Source organism: Homo sapiens, chromosome 5, assembly GCF_000001405.40.
Source record: "Homo sapiens chromosome 5, GRCh38.p14 Primary Assembly".
Taxonomy (NCBI): domain Eukaryota; kingdom Metazoa; phylum Chordata; class Mammalia; order Primates; family Hominidae; genus Homo; species Homo sapiens.
This window is the reverse complement of record NC_000005.10, coordinates 80,462,951-80,476,902: the sequence shown is the minus strand read 5'-3', so window position 1 is coordinate 80,476,902 and position 13,952 is coordinate 80,462,951. Positions and strand designations below refer to the sequence as shown.

Sequence of the window (13,952 nt, the reverse complement as noted above, 5' to 3'; positions counted from 1 at the left end):
ATGGTATTAAAAAAATCTACTTGAAATATTTCAAATTTGTTGTTGCAATAATATTTAATATTAGACTCTAACATTGGTGCAAATTACATTTTAATACAATTGGCTAAAAAAATTTACAGTGCTTACTCCAATAACAAATAGTGAGTGCTTCCTTGAAAAGAGGACTTTTAATAGTGAGATAAAAACAAAACCCCTTTTCCAGTAAGAACTATGAGTAAAATATATCCTGGCTGGAGAAAAGCAAACCCTCAGCATATGAACTCACCCACGTTTAGCTTAACCATTCTAATGAATTCTCTGATTTGAAAATCTATATTGGATGTTGGAAAGTTACCTGGATGTCAGAAAGAGAACTTTCAGTTCAAAGAAAAACAAATTGTTTTTACATGCAAGATGATCATCACTCCTTGTTAAGAGAAATACAAATTAAAATAATACTGGGGCCAGGCGTGGTGGCTCATGCCTACAATCTCAACACTTTGGGAGGCCAAGGCAGGAGAACTGCTTGAGCCCAGGAGTTCAAGACCAACCTGGGAAACAGAGTGAAACCCCATCTATTTAACAAGTAATAATAATATTAATAATAATGTGGTATTATTTTTCACCTATCAAATTGTCCAAGTTCAAAAGTTTGATTATATACTTCTTTGATAAGGATATGGGGGAGGCCAGGTGCGGTGGCTCACACCTATAATCCCAGCACTTTGGGAGGCCACAGATCACATGAGGTCAAGAGTTCAAGACCGGTCCAGCCAACATGGTGAAACCCTGTGTCTGCTAAAAATACAAATATTAGCAAGGTGTGGTGGCACATGCCTGTAGTCCCAGCTACTCGGGAGGCTGAGGAAGGAGAATTGCTTGAACCCAGGGGGCAGAGGCTGCAGTGAGCCAAAATCGTGCCACTGCACTCCAGCCTGGGTGGCAGAGTGAGACTGTCTCAAAAAAAGGATGTGAGGGAAAGAGCTCTCACAAATTGCTGGAAGAAATAAATATAAATTGACATAACCTCTATTTGGGATAATATGGTAATATCTATTGCGTATATACTCAGGCCTGGCAATTCTACTCAGAATTTTTCTTATAGATATACTTACGCTTATGTAAAAGCAAAATATTGTGGACAACCTGAATGTCTATCAACATATATCAAATATGCATGAATAATTAGTTAGATAAATTATGGTACATTTATATAATCAACTACTATGCCGCTGTTAAAAAAGAATGTCTGCTAGTATTAATATCTTTAAGATATATTAAAGAAGCAAGGTAAAAAATGTGTAAAAGAGGGAAGATGAAAAAGGAGGACACACACTTATTTGCTTGTAGATGCATAAAATCACAAAGAATACGTAAGAAATGAGTAACACTGATTGCTTGGCCGGAGAGGGAGGATAAAGAAAAGTATGAAGGTGAACTGATGGGTTGGATGTCAACAGTAGGAAAGATATTTCCAAGGCTGTTGCCTTATACAACTCTACTGGGAACCATTTACATTGTAGTCTGGAGTTATTATCTCCAGAGTCCACCAGTTACACAGAATACATTGTGAATGCTGCTCTCCGCAAATATTCAGCGAGGTGGTCCTGTTATATATACGCTTTTAGACTTTTAAGATTTTAAATCATGTACATATAGAATTTAGTCAGATAAGTAAATTTAAAAACCTACCTATAAGGCAGAGTAGTCATGGAGAAGGGTTCATCAAACTATGGCCTGCAGGCCAAACTTGGCCCCACTGGGTAAACAAAATTTCACTGGAACATAGCCACACTTAATTTGTTTACATACTGTGAATGGCTGCTTTCCCAATATAATGGTAGTGTTGAGTAGTTGTGAAAGAAACCATACTGCCTACAATGTCCAAAATAGTTACTGTCTGTCCTTTTGCAAAAACAGTTTGCTGACCCCTGTTGTGGAGACTAATACAGATAATATATGTGAAGTGTGTAGCACACATTTGATGCTCAACAAATTTTCGTTCCCTTTCATCCCAAAATAAAAGGTTGAAGAAAAACTTGTTAATATGCAATACATTCATTTCAAAAATACATCACAAAAACATGCCTCACCATATCAGTGTCAATGGAAACTCTGAGTCCAATTTTATTCATCCCATTACTTTTTAGAGTTTTCAGGTGAGGGCACAGCGCAGCACTACAAGCCATGGCTATTTCTTTTGCAAACTGATAAGAAGTTGATAAAATAGATAAATCCTGGTCCTTTAGAAAGTAGAACACCTGAAATGTATTTAATTAGGAAACAAGTCATGATTAAAAGTAACTTTAAAATGCAACAATTGCTGCTTTCAAGTTTAATTAAATTCCAATGTAAGTACCATGAAAAGCATTAGTTGTGAGAATTCTGTATCGATAGCTTGATCTGTACTATAAGTAAAAACATAAAACAAAAAGTTATGGTAAATATGGAAATGTCTCAGCAATTTTTGCCTAAGGTTAATTTGTAGCAAGGAAAGGCTTATTAAATCAGTATGAGTCTATCCTGTAAAGAACATCTATATGAAGTTAAGATAAAACATTGTGTCTACATTCTCTACAGGTTCTATTTTGTACATGTAATAAAATCACAAAGAATGCATAAGAAATAAATATGAGGGGGAATAAGGAGGTAGACTAAGGACTTGGGAGTCTGTAGTTTCATATCCTCTAATTTAAAAAAAAACTAAAACATGAAAAAGTAACTTTCATATGTGAATGCTGATTATAAATTAATGACAATATCTTATTTTTCATAAAATCTGAGGAAAATGAAAATATGGTCAAGTAACATATTACAGTACAAAGATGGCAATGCTGCCAACACAGCTGGCAGGCAGTACCACCATTTGATAGCCTGAACTAACCCTATGGAAATCCAATTCTGGTGTATAAAATTCTGGGGTGGAAATGCGTATGTCTCAAAGTGTAGCATAAAAAGTATAATAAGCTATGCATAAATATTTAGAGGTTGAGTATGCACAATCTCCAAAGAACAAAAATCATATTGAAACACAGCATGTAAAGGGACCTTCTTTCTTAGTTACCTCGGTACATTTTACAATCTTCTCATCGGTTTCAAAATCTGCTTCCAGTTTTATTTTTTCACTTGGAAATCCTTGTAATGATATTCCATCCACTGAACTGATAACTCTATGAAATAAAACATAATACAATAGAATTATTAGCACCAATGTGTTTTTGAAATGAATTATTAGATTTGAACAAATGGAATGAGGGAAAAAATATAAAAGAAGATATGTCAATTATATACAAAATAACTAAATCTGTAGTTCACATTCATTTACCAAGATTTCTTGATTGTGTAGTAATCTTTTTTGTTCATCAATAAATTGTATCTCCTTTTTCATATGCCAAATTCAGACCTCAAGTTTAAAATACCTTAGATAGTCTAATAGAAAAGCTGCCTCATGAATTCAAAAACTCTATTTTGGAATCCTTCAGCCCTCTTTTTCCTTCTTTGCTCCAGACCCCTTAGCCAATCTCAAAAAAAGAAAGAAAATGGGTAACTGAAGAGAGGAAGGAGTGGCAGTAATAATCTGTAAGGCCTCTAATGTAAATATTATTAAATCCAGTTGTTTGTATTTATAGTGAATCAAAATAATACAGTATATATCATCCAAAGGGAATCTTTTACTTATGTGACAAAAATAGGTACCATCTGAAAGAAAAAGTGTCTTGCCTTTTCAGCCCTGGCATCAAGCCCACACTGCTACACAACAGATGTGTCATCATCAAGCCCCTCTCAAATGGACCATCCTGGCCCAAAAACCACACCACCACTTATGAGGCTAGTTAGGCACATGTTTGAAAAAGATTGCATTCATTAATTTGAGTAAAGGCATTTAAATTGATGGTATAAGTATATATTCGTTCATAAAATATTTAATTTTATTAATAGGATATTTTAATCCTGCACTTTCCTTCAAATCAATTATATTTTAGAATAAAAAAATTCCTACCCTTTGTTTCCTTTTTCTTCAGCATCTACCCAGCAGATATCCACGTATTCTCTCAGGTCTACTGCATCAACTTTCCCACATGTAATTTTAAAGTCTTTCTGTTCTCGTAAAGCTAGCCGCAAGCCATTCATGGTCTCTGGAGTTATTTGTACCATTAAGCCATCTAGAAATGAGACTAAGTTTCACATTTCTTTTGCCAAATACCAATGTGTATATCTAAGCCATAAAATTTGCTATCAAAATATGTTCTGTGTAAGATACAAGTTTTAAATCATTTGCTAATCATCTTAATGGTTGTTTTCCACTAGGAAATAAGACAAGTATTTTGCAAAGTTAAGAATTTTTTTTTTAAGGTTAAAACAAAGAGAATTTCTGCTTCTGGCTATGATGAAATAACTGGTACCAGATAGCCCTGTCATGACAACCACCCTAAGACTAGACAAAATGTATGAGATAACTGTTTTCAGGTTCTGGACAATAGGCAGTGCAATACTGAGATCCCTAGAGGGAAACTGAAGAGGTTAAGCCCATGGTTATCTCCAGGCAGAGAACTCAGGTAAGCTTAGTGGGTCACCATGAGGAAATTATTCCCAGGCAGAGAGCCCTTACTCTCTGCCCTGAGCTCTCTGCCTGGGGATAATTTCTTCAAGGTGACCCACTAAGTCTACAATGGCCCTATTGGCTGAGAACTCAAGAGATAAAGAGTTTGGTGAAGCCTAGAATCTGCAGTCAGGACACTTAAGAGGGGGGCACTAGAAAACTGCATGGAAGACTTTGAAGTCTTTGGACTAGAACTGGGGACACAATAACAGAGTGAGACTAGATGAGGCTTAAACATAGCACAGTGTTACAGCATGGGGAACAGAACAGAGGTAATAGAAGTCAAATAATGTTGGGGAATTTGGTCATGTGGACCAACCAAAGTGAAGAGACTTTATTAACACCTCATTAACAAGCATTGTAGAAAAGCCAAAACGAAGCCCTTACAAAATCTATAGGCAAAATAGATTTGAAGACTGAGTACTGTCAAATTAGTGTGGACCGGTAAACACCTTAGGATTTCTACAAATCCATCTTAAGAAAGTGAAAAATCAAGTCTACACAATGTCAAGGTGATCAACCATGAAACTGCCTACTAAAACATAAACAAACCTTCTTCAGCAAAATGTACTTAGAATCTAAAGTTTCTAAAGCATATAACTATTGCGGGATCTGGCCAGCAGCCCACAATGCAACGGGGCGCTCTCTTTGTTCCTAGGCAGATCAGCAGGTTGAGAAATAATAGACACACAAAAGATAGTGAATGCTGGGTCCGGGGGGTCACCGCCTTCTGGTCCCGTGGTGCCAACGATGCACTGGATATACCAGCATTTATTATTAAGTTTAGTGAGGGCAGGGGTAGCTTAGTGAGGGATTTAGGGTCATTTGATTATGAGGTGAGATGGTCACATGGGGATGAAGTAATTCTTTAACATAACATCTGTATGCAGAAGTACAGTATACAGAGATAAGAATTTACAATATAGTGTGTGCATCAGTAATTTCTAACAGAGCCTTAAAACAGAAGCACAGTCTTTCCATAACCTGTGATTAGCAAGATATTAATCAGCAGTAACAGTTGCAGCAAAAGCTGGTTACAAACAATCCATAGAAACAGGACGTGAAGCTAGACAACCGGTTAGACCAGAAATTCTCAGAAGGGAGTATGCCTTAACCCTAAAGAGGCCTAAAAGAGCCGTGGCAAGATTAGGACGTTTATAGCCCTATCTTATCCATATGGACAGGCACCCCCCATGCATCCGTTTATAGGCTCTCCACAAGGGTCACATTCCATTCCCAGAGCTATGAACATCTGCTTTTCTGGGATAGGAATCTTGGTGATGTGAAACCTCCCTGACTGCACGTCCATTCATAGGCTCTCTGCAGGGGGAAGCACATCACGTGCTGTTGGCTCATTCTGGTAGTCCAACTTGGCATTGTCTTTACACAGTCCTGCATGCAATTTTGTATTTACAATAATCAGGAGCATTTCATCTTTTATTCTGTAGCAATAGTTTCAGGGGGTCTCCCTACATATAACAATGACAAATATACAACCAAAAATTACTAGACAGGCCAGGTGTGGTGGCTCACAACTGTAATCCCAGTGCTTAGGGAAGACAAGGAGGGAGGATATCTTAAGGCCAGGAGTTCAAGACCAGCCTGGACAACACAGTGAAACCTCATCTCTACAAAAAGTTTAAAAATTAGCCAGGTGTGGTGGTGTGCACCTGCAGTCCCACCTACTCAAGAGGCTGATGCAGGAGGATCACTTAGCCCAGGAGTTCAAGGCTGCAGTGAGCTATGACTGTACCACTGCACTCCAGCCTGGGCAACAGAGCGAGATCCTGTCTCAAAAAAAATAATAGAAATTACTAGACAGAAATGAGAAAATGTGACCCCTTCGGCAAATGAAGCCAACTTCAAGATGGCCAATTAAGCATATAAAAATTTTAAAACAGCTATAATAAATATATTCAAAGAGTCTGGGTGCGGTGGCTCATGCCTGTAATCCCAGCACTTTGGGAGGCCTAGGCGGGAGGATAACGAGGTCAGGAGATCGAGACCATCCTGGCTAACATGGTGAAACCCTGTCTCTACTAAAAATACGAAAAATTAGCCAGGTGTGGTGGTAGGTGCCTGTAGTCCCAGCTACTCGGGAGGCTGAGGCAGGAGAATGGCGTGAACCCAGGAGGTGGAGCTTCCAGTGAGCCGAGATTGCGCCACTGCACTCCAGCCTGGGTGAAAGGGTGAGACTCTGTCTCAAAAAAAAAAAAAAAAAATACACACACACACACACACACACACACACACACACACGTATATATACACACACACACATATATATACACACATATATATGTATATATGTATGTATATTCAAAGACATAAAGGAAACGCATTCAAAGAATAAAAAGCAAATATGGGCTAAATAAACATATAATAAATCTTGAGAGAAATACAAACTGGAAAAAGAAACAAAAGGAAATTCTGGAACAGAAAAGTACAATCTAACTAAAACTGAAAGCCCAAAGGAGAGACTTAATAGTAGACTAAAGATGGCAAAAAAAAAATAATTGGAGAACATAAAGAAAAATCAGTGAAAAGTATCCAATCTGAAGAACACAAAGAAAAAACATTGAAGAAAAAATGAGCAGAGCATCAAGAATCTATGGGGTGACACAAAACAATCTAACACACACATGCACATATATTTGTGTACACACACTCACACACACACATACAGTGACAGAGTCCTAGAAGAAGAGACTGGAATCTAGGCACACATAATTAAGCTGACAAAAACTGAAGATGAAGATGGTATCTCAAAAACAGACTGATGCCAGGAGCAGTGGCTCACACATGTAATCCCAGTACTTTGGGGAGGCTGAGGAGGGAGGATCACTTGAGTCCAGAAGATTGAGACCAGCCTGGGCAATATAGGAAGACCTCATCTTTACAATTTTTTTTTTTTAATTAGCCAAGCATGGTGGCATGTGCTTGTAGTCCCAACTACTCAGAGGCTGAGGAAGGAGGATCACTTGAGCCCAGAAGTTCAAGCCCCAGCCTGGGCAACATAGTGAGACCTTGTCTCTACAAGAAAACAACAAAAAAATAGCCAGGTGTGGTGGTGTGTGCCTGTAGTCCTAGCTACTCAGGAGGCTGAGATGGGAGGACTGCCTGAGCCTTGGAGGTTGAGGCTGCAGTGAGCCATGATCATGCCACTGCACTCCCGCCTGGGTGAGAATGAGACCCTGGGTGAGAATGAGTCTCAAAAAAAAAAAAAAAAGAGAGAAAGAAAAGAAATAAGAAGAAAAATATATGGATATCTCAAATTCCATTATCAGAATGACAGATATGGCACATAAAAATAAATCATAAAAGTTCACTTCTTAAAAGGTATTAATTGATAAACATGGATCCAGATGGGTGTGCTTATGATTATTGCTTCTATTATATTAGGAGTCCCAGCCAGTAACCAAAATAAATAAATAAAAAGCATAAGAATTGCAAAGAAAAAAGCAAAATTACACTATTTCAGCTACACAGAAAAGTCTAAAAGAATCGACAGATAAATTATTATAAATAAGAGTATATAATGTGGCTGGATGTAAGTTTTAAAATGCAGAGATAAATGTATTTCTATATACCAGAAACAGATTACAATTTTAATTTAATAAGATACCATTTACATCGGCAATAAAATCTATAAGGTAAAGGAATAAATCAAGAAAATATATACAAGGCCTAAACCAAAAATCATAAAGTCATGTACCACAAAACAACATTTCAGTCAATGAGGGATCACATATACAACAGCAGTCCCATAAGATTATAGTACAGTATTTTTTACTGTGCGTTTTCTGTGTTTAGATATACTTAGATACACAAATGCCATCATATTATAACTGTCTACCATATTCAGAATGGTAACATGCTGTACAGGTTTACAGACTAGGAGCAATTGGCTATACCATATAGCCTAGGTATGCACTAGGCTATACTATTTAGGTTTGTGTAAGTGCACTCTATGAAGTTTGCACAATGACAAGATTGCCTAATGAAACATTTCTCAGAATGTATCCCCATCACTAAGCAACACATAACTGTAGATTTAAAATAAGTGAGGGTGTACTATATGAATAGGAACACTGAAAATGGAAAATGTGCCAATTTTCTCAAAATTAAGCTAATGATTTAATGCAACCCCAGATAAAAATTCCCATGGACCTTTTGTAAACCTGACAAGTTGATCCTAAAACGAACATGAAAAAATCAAAGGACTTACACTGGCCATGGCACTACTGAAAAGAAGAATAAAGCATATGGGTGCCATCAACCTCCTGAGTAGCTTGGGGTACAGGTGCATGCCACCATGAAGTTTTCATTTTAATTGTTGTAATTTTGAACTCCAGAATTTATATATATTTTTTTCTTATAATTTGATCATTTCTATTGCTTCACTGATATTCTGTTTGGTTGGACATCATTCTCATGCTTTCCTTTGGTTCTTTAGACATAGTTTCCTTTAGTTCTCTGAACATATTTTAAATAATTGATTTATACCCTTTGTCTTGTAAGTGTAATGTCTTTGTTTCCTTAGGGACAGTTCCTGTTACTTGCTTTTCCCTTCAGGTATAGACCACATTTTCCTGTTTCTTTGCATGTCTGGCAATTTTATGTTGAAAATGAGACATTTTAAATAATTAATGAGGCAACTCTGGAAATCAGATTTTGTCTTCTTCACAGAGTTTGTTTTTGTTGCTGTTTGTTGTTATGTGGCTTTTTTGAACTAATTCTGTAAAATCTGCATTCTTTGTCATACATATGTAGTCACTAAAGTCTCTGCTGAGTTAGCTTATTAGCTGTCTAATTATTGAACTGAGATATCCTTAAATGCCTGAAACTAATAACTATCCTAGTCTTTGCTGGAAGCTTTATGTGCTTGTTCGGGCATGCCTTCAACATTCAAGTCAGGCAGTGGACACCTCTATCTTGGCTATCACTTCCTGCTTGTGCAGAGGCTCAAGGTCAATCTGAGGTGGACACATAGGACCTTCCCAGGTCTTTCCTGGGCATTTGTACATCCTTGTATTTGCAACTTGCATGTGACCCCTTACCGACAAAGCATTCCCCAGCTTTTCCTTTTAACCTTTAGATTTGCCTGTTGTTTGCCTCAATTGTATTCCATAGCTAGAGGCTGGTTAAATACTTGCTGTATGCATAATCATTCCATTTCGACAAACACTCCCTGAGAAAAGATTTTTCCCACTGGGTAAGCTTAGAGTCAGGAAAAGTAAAACAGCCTTGTAAGTAGGGTCTTCCAGGGAACCACCTGAGAAGTCAAATAATGACAACTGTCTGATAGTAAGTTTTTGAAGGAGCTCCAACCCCTTACTGCCCCCACCACTGGCTATAAGCCTGCTGGTTTTCAAGGCTTCTGCTGTGCTGGAGATGAGAGGATAGGTATAGGGCAAGTTAAAATAACAGCTTGCTATTCTTATCAAGATTCAGTCATTTTTCTTTAATAAACCATACCCAATTGCTATAAACTTTTGGCTAATTTCCAGAGTTCTGAAAGAGTTGCTTCTGATTCTTTGCCAGTTTCCTCATTCCTTATATGGGGCAGAGTATTTTTTGAGGTTTTCAGTGTCGCAACTTTCACTAATGTCATCCTCCACAGTATCTCAGTTACACAGCTTTATAGGAAACCCTTTTATCCAAAGAAATAGGAAAATATGGCCTGTATATGAAGGGAAAAGCAAGTAACAGGGACTGTCCCTAAGGAAACAAAGACATTACACTTACTAGACAAAGGGTATAAATCAATTATTTTAAATATGTTCACAGAACTAAAGGAACTATGTCTAAAGAATCAAAGTATGAGAATGATGTCTAACCAAACAGAGAATATCAATGAAATGATAGAAATTACAAAATTGTAAGAAAAAAATACAAATTCTGGAGTTCAAAATTACAATTAAAATGAAAACTTCACTAGTGGAGCTCAACAACAGATTTGACTAGGCAGAAGAATTTGTGAATTTGAAAACAGACCAACTAAGACTACCCAGTCTGATGAACAGAAAGAAAAAAGAAGAAAAATGAACAGACCCTCAGAGACGTGTGGGTATATCATCAAGAATACCAACATATGTGGATGGGCAGAGTGGCTCATGCCTGTAACCCCAGCACTTTGGGAGGTTGAGGCAGGTGGATCCCATGAGTTCAGGAGTTCGAGACCAGCCTGGCCAACATGGTGAAACCCTGTCTCTACTAAAAGTACAAAAAATTAGCTGGGCGTGGTGGTGGGTGCCTGTAATCCCAGCTAACAGGAAGCTGAGGCAAGAGAATCTCTTGAACCCAGGAGGTGGAGGTTGCAGTAAGTCAGGATCACGCCATTGCACTCAAGCTTGGGCAATAACTGGGAAACTCCATCTCAAAAAAAAAAAAAGAATACCAATATATGCATAATGAAAAACACTAATCTGAACATCTAAGAATCACAGAGAATTCCAAGTATACTATAAACTCAAAGGGATCCACCCCTAAACACATCATAGTCAAACTGTGAATGACAAAGAGTGTCATGAAAGCAGCAATAAAGCAAATCATCACATACAAAGGATTTCAAATAAAATTAACTGCTGACTTCTTAATCAGAAACTATGTAGAGGCCAGGCACAGTGGCTCATGCCTATAATTAAAACACTTTGGGAGGGCGAGGCAGGAGGAATGCTTGAGCCCAGGAGTTTCAGACCAGCCTGGGCAACACAGTGAGACCCTGTCTCTACAAAAAATAGAAAAAAAATTAGCCAAACCTGGTGGTACATGTCTGTAGTTCCAGCTACTCAGGAGGCTGAGATGGGAGGGTCGTTTGAACCCAAGAGTCAAGGCTGTAGTGAGCTGTGATTATGCCACTGCACTCCAGCCAGGGTGACAAAGCTAAATCCTGTCTCAAAAAAAAAAAAAAAAAAAAAAAACAAAGAAAAGGAAAAAAAAAGAAACCATGGAGGCCAGAAGACAGTGGAATGACATATTCAAAGTGCTAAATGAAAAATATTGTTAACCAGAAAGTTTATGTCCAGCAAAACTCTCCTTCAAAAATGAAGGAGAAATTAGCACATTCCCAGATAAACAAAAACAGAGAAAATATGTTGCTGGCACACTTCAAGTACAAGAAATACTAAAGGAAGTCCCTCACACTTAAATAAAAGGATGCTAGACTGTAACTTGAATGCACATGAATAAGAGAATAGGTAAGGTAACTACATAGGTTAATATATAAGAACATAAATGTATTTTGGGTTGTAACTCTTTCCTCTTCTCATTTAAAAAACATCTGCATAAATCAATAATTATAAATCAGTGTTGATGGGCACATAATGTATAAACATGTAATTTGTATGGCAATAATGACACAAAGGAGTAGAGAGGAAACGATAAACAGGAGTAAAGTTTTTATATACTATGGAAATTAGATTGGTATTTATCTGAATTATATTGTTAAACATTTTGGTATTAACTGTAATGTCTATGGCAACAACTAAGAAATAACTAAAAAAATACATATTAAAAGAAGTGACAAGTGAATTAAAATGGTACACTAGAAAATATCTAACACAAAAAAACACAGTAGGGAAGGAACAGAGAAACAAAATATAATTGACAAAACTTTACAAGAGTAACCAAGAAAAAAGAAGATTCAAATTACTAAAATCAGCAATTCATGAGGGGACATTACTACCAACCTCACAGAAATAAAGGATTATAAGGGAATACTATGAACAATGTTATGCCAACAAATTAGATAACATAAATGAAATTGATAAATTCTTAGTGATATGGTTAGGCTTTGTGTCCCCACCCAAATCTCATCATGAATTGTAATCCCCATAATCCTCACGTGTCAAGGGAGAGACCAGGTGGAAGTAACTGAATCATGGGGGCAGTTTCCCTCCATGCTGTTCTTCTGATAATGAGACAGTTCTTGCAAGATCTGATGGTTTTATAAGGGGCTCTTCCCCCTTAGCTCAGCACTTCTTCCTGCCGCCTTGTGAAGAAGGTGCTTTGCTTGCCCTTCACCTTCTGCCATGATCATAAGTTTCCTGAGGCTGTGCTGAACTGTGAGTCAATTAAACCTCTTTCCTTTATAAATTACCCAGTCTCGGGTATGTCCTTATAGCAGCATGAGAACAGACTAATACAGTAAATTGACACCCCAGAGAGTGGGGTGTTGCTATAAAGATACTTAAAATGTGGAAGTGACTTTGGAACTTGGTAACAGGCAGAGGGTGGAACAGTTTGGAGGGCTCAGAAGAAGAGAGGAAGATGTGGGAAAGTTTGAAACTTCCTAGAGACTTGTTGAATGGCTTTGACCAAAATGCTGATAGTGATATGGACAATGAAGTCCAGGCTGAGGTGATCTCAGATGGAGATGAGGAACTTGTTGGGAACTAGAATAAAGGTGACTGTTGCTATGCTTTGGCAAAGAGACTGGCAGAATTTTGCCCCTGCCCTAGAGATCTGAGGAACTTTGAAGTTGAGAGAGATAATTTAGGGTATCTGGCGGAAGAAATTTCTAAGCAGCAAAGCATTCAAGAGGTGATTTGGGGGCTCTAAAAAGCATTCAGTTTTATGCATTCACAAAGAGATACTTTGGAACTGGAACTTATGTTTAAAAGGGAAGCAGAGCATAAAAGTTTGGAAAATTTGCAGCCTGATAACGCGATAAAGAAAAACCCATTTTCTGAGGAGAAATTCAAGCTGGCTGCAGAAATTTGCATTAAGTAATGAGAAGCCAAACATTAATCCCCAAGACAATGGGGAAAATGTCTCTAGGGCATACCAGAGACCTTCACAACAGTCCCTCCCATTACAGGCCTGGAGGCCTGGGAGGTAAAAATGGTTTTGTGGGCCAGGTACAGGGTCTTGCTGCCTTGTGTAGTCTCAGGACTTGGTGCCCAGTGTCCCACTCGTGGCTAAAGGGGCCAAAATATAGCTCAGGCCATTGCTTCAAAGGGTGCATGCCCCAAGCTTTGGTGGCTTACAGGTGGTGTTGCGCCTACAGGTGTACAGAAGTCAAGAATTGTGGTTTGGGAACCTCCACCTAGATTTCAGAGGATGTACGGAAATGCCTGGATGTCCAGGCAGAAGTTTGCTGCAGGGGTGGAACCCTCATGGAGAACCTCTGCTAGGGCAGTGCAGAAGGGAAATGTCCCCACAAAGAGTCCCCACTGGGGCACTGCCTAGTGGAGCTGTGAGAAGAGGGTCACCATCCTCCAGACCCCAGAATGGTAGATCCACCAACAGCTTGCACTGTGTGCTTGGAAAAGTGCCAGACAATGCCAGCACATGAAAGCAGCTGGGAGAGGCTGTACCCTGCAAAGCTACAGGGCTGGAGCTGCCCATGGCTGTAGAAGCCCACCTTTTA

At 38.3% G+C, this 13,952-nt stretch overlaps 1 protein-coding gene across 12 annotated transcripts in view; it reads right to left on the bottom strand.

Annotated features, from left to right (window-relative positions):
• ZFYVE16 (zinc finger FYVE-type containing 16) overlaps positions 1 to 13,952 on the bottom strand; it is a 75,770-nt gene that overhangs the window by 6,477 nt on the left and 55,341 nt on the right. For all 12 annotated transcript variants that reach the window (NR_146172.2, NR_146174.2, NR_146173.2 and 9 more), the window contains 3 exons: positions 3,980 to 4,142; positions 3,044 to 3,149; positions 2,073 to 2,240 (listed from right to left, as the gene is read on the bottom strand). Coding sequence is in view for 9 of the 12 variants with exons in the window: in XM_017010092.3 (XP_016865581.1) it covers positions 2,073 to 2,240; positions 3,044 to 3,149; positions 3,980 to 4,142 (437 nt within the window). In the remaining 3 variants the exon portion in view is untranslated. The remainder of the gene's footprint in view (positions 1 to 2,072; positions 2,241 to 3,043; positions 3,150 to 3,979; positions 4,143 to 13,952) is intronic.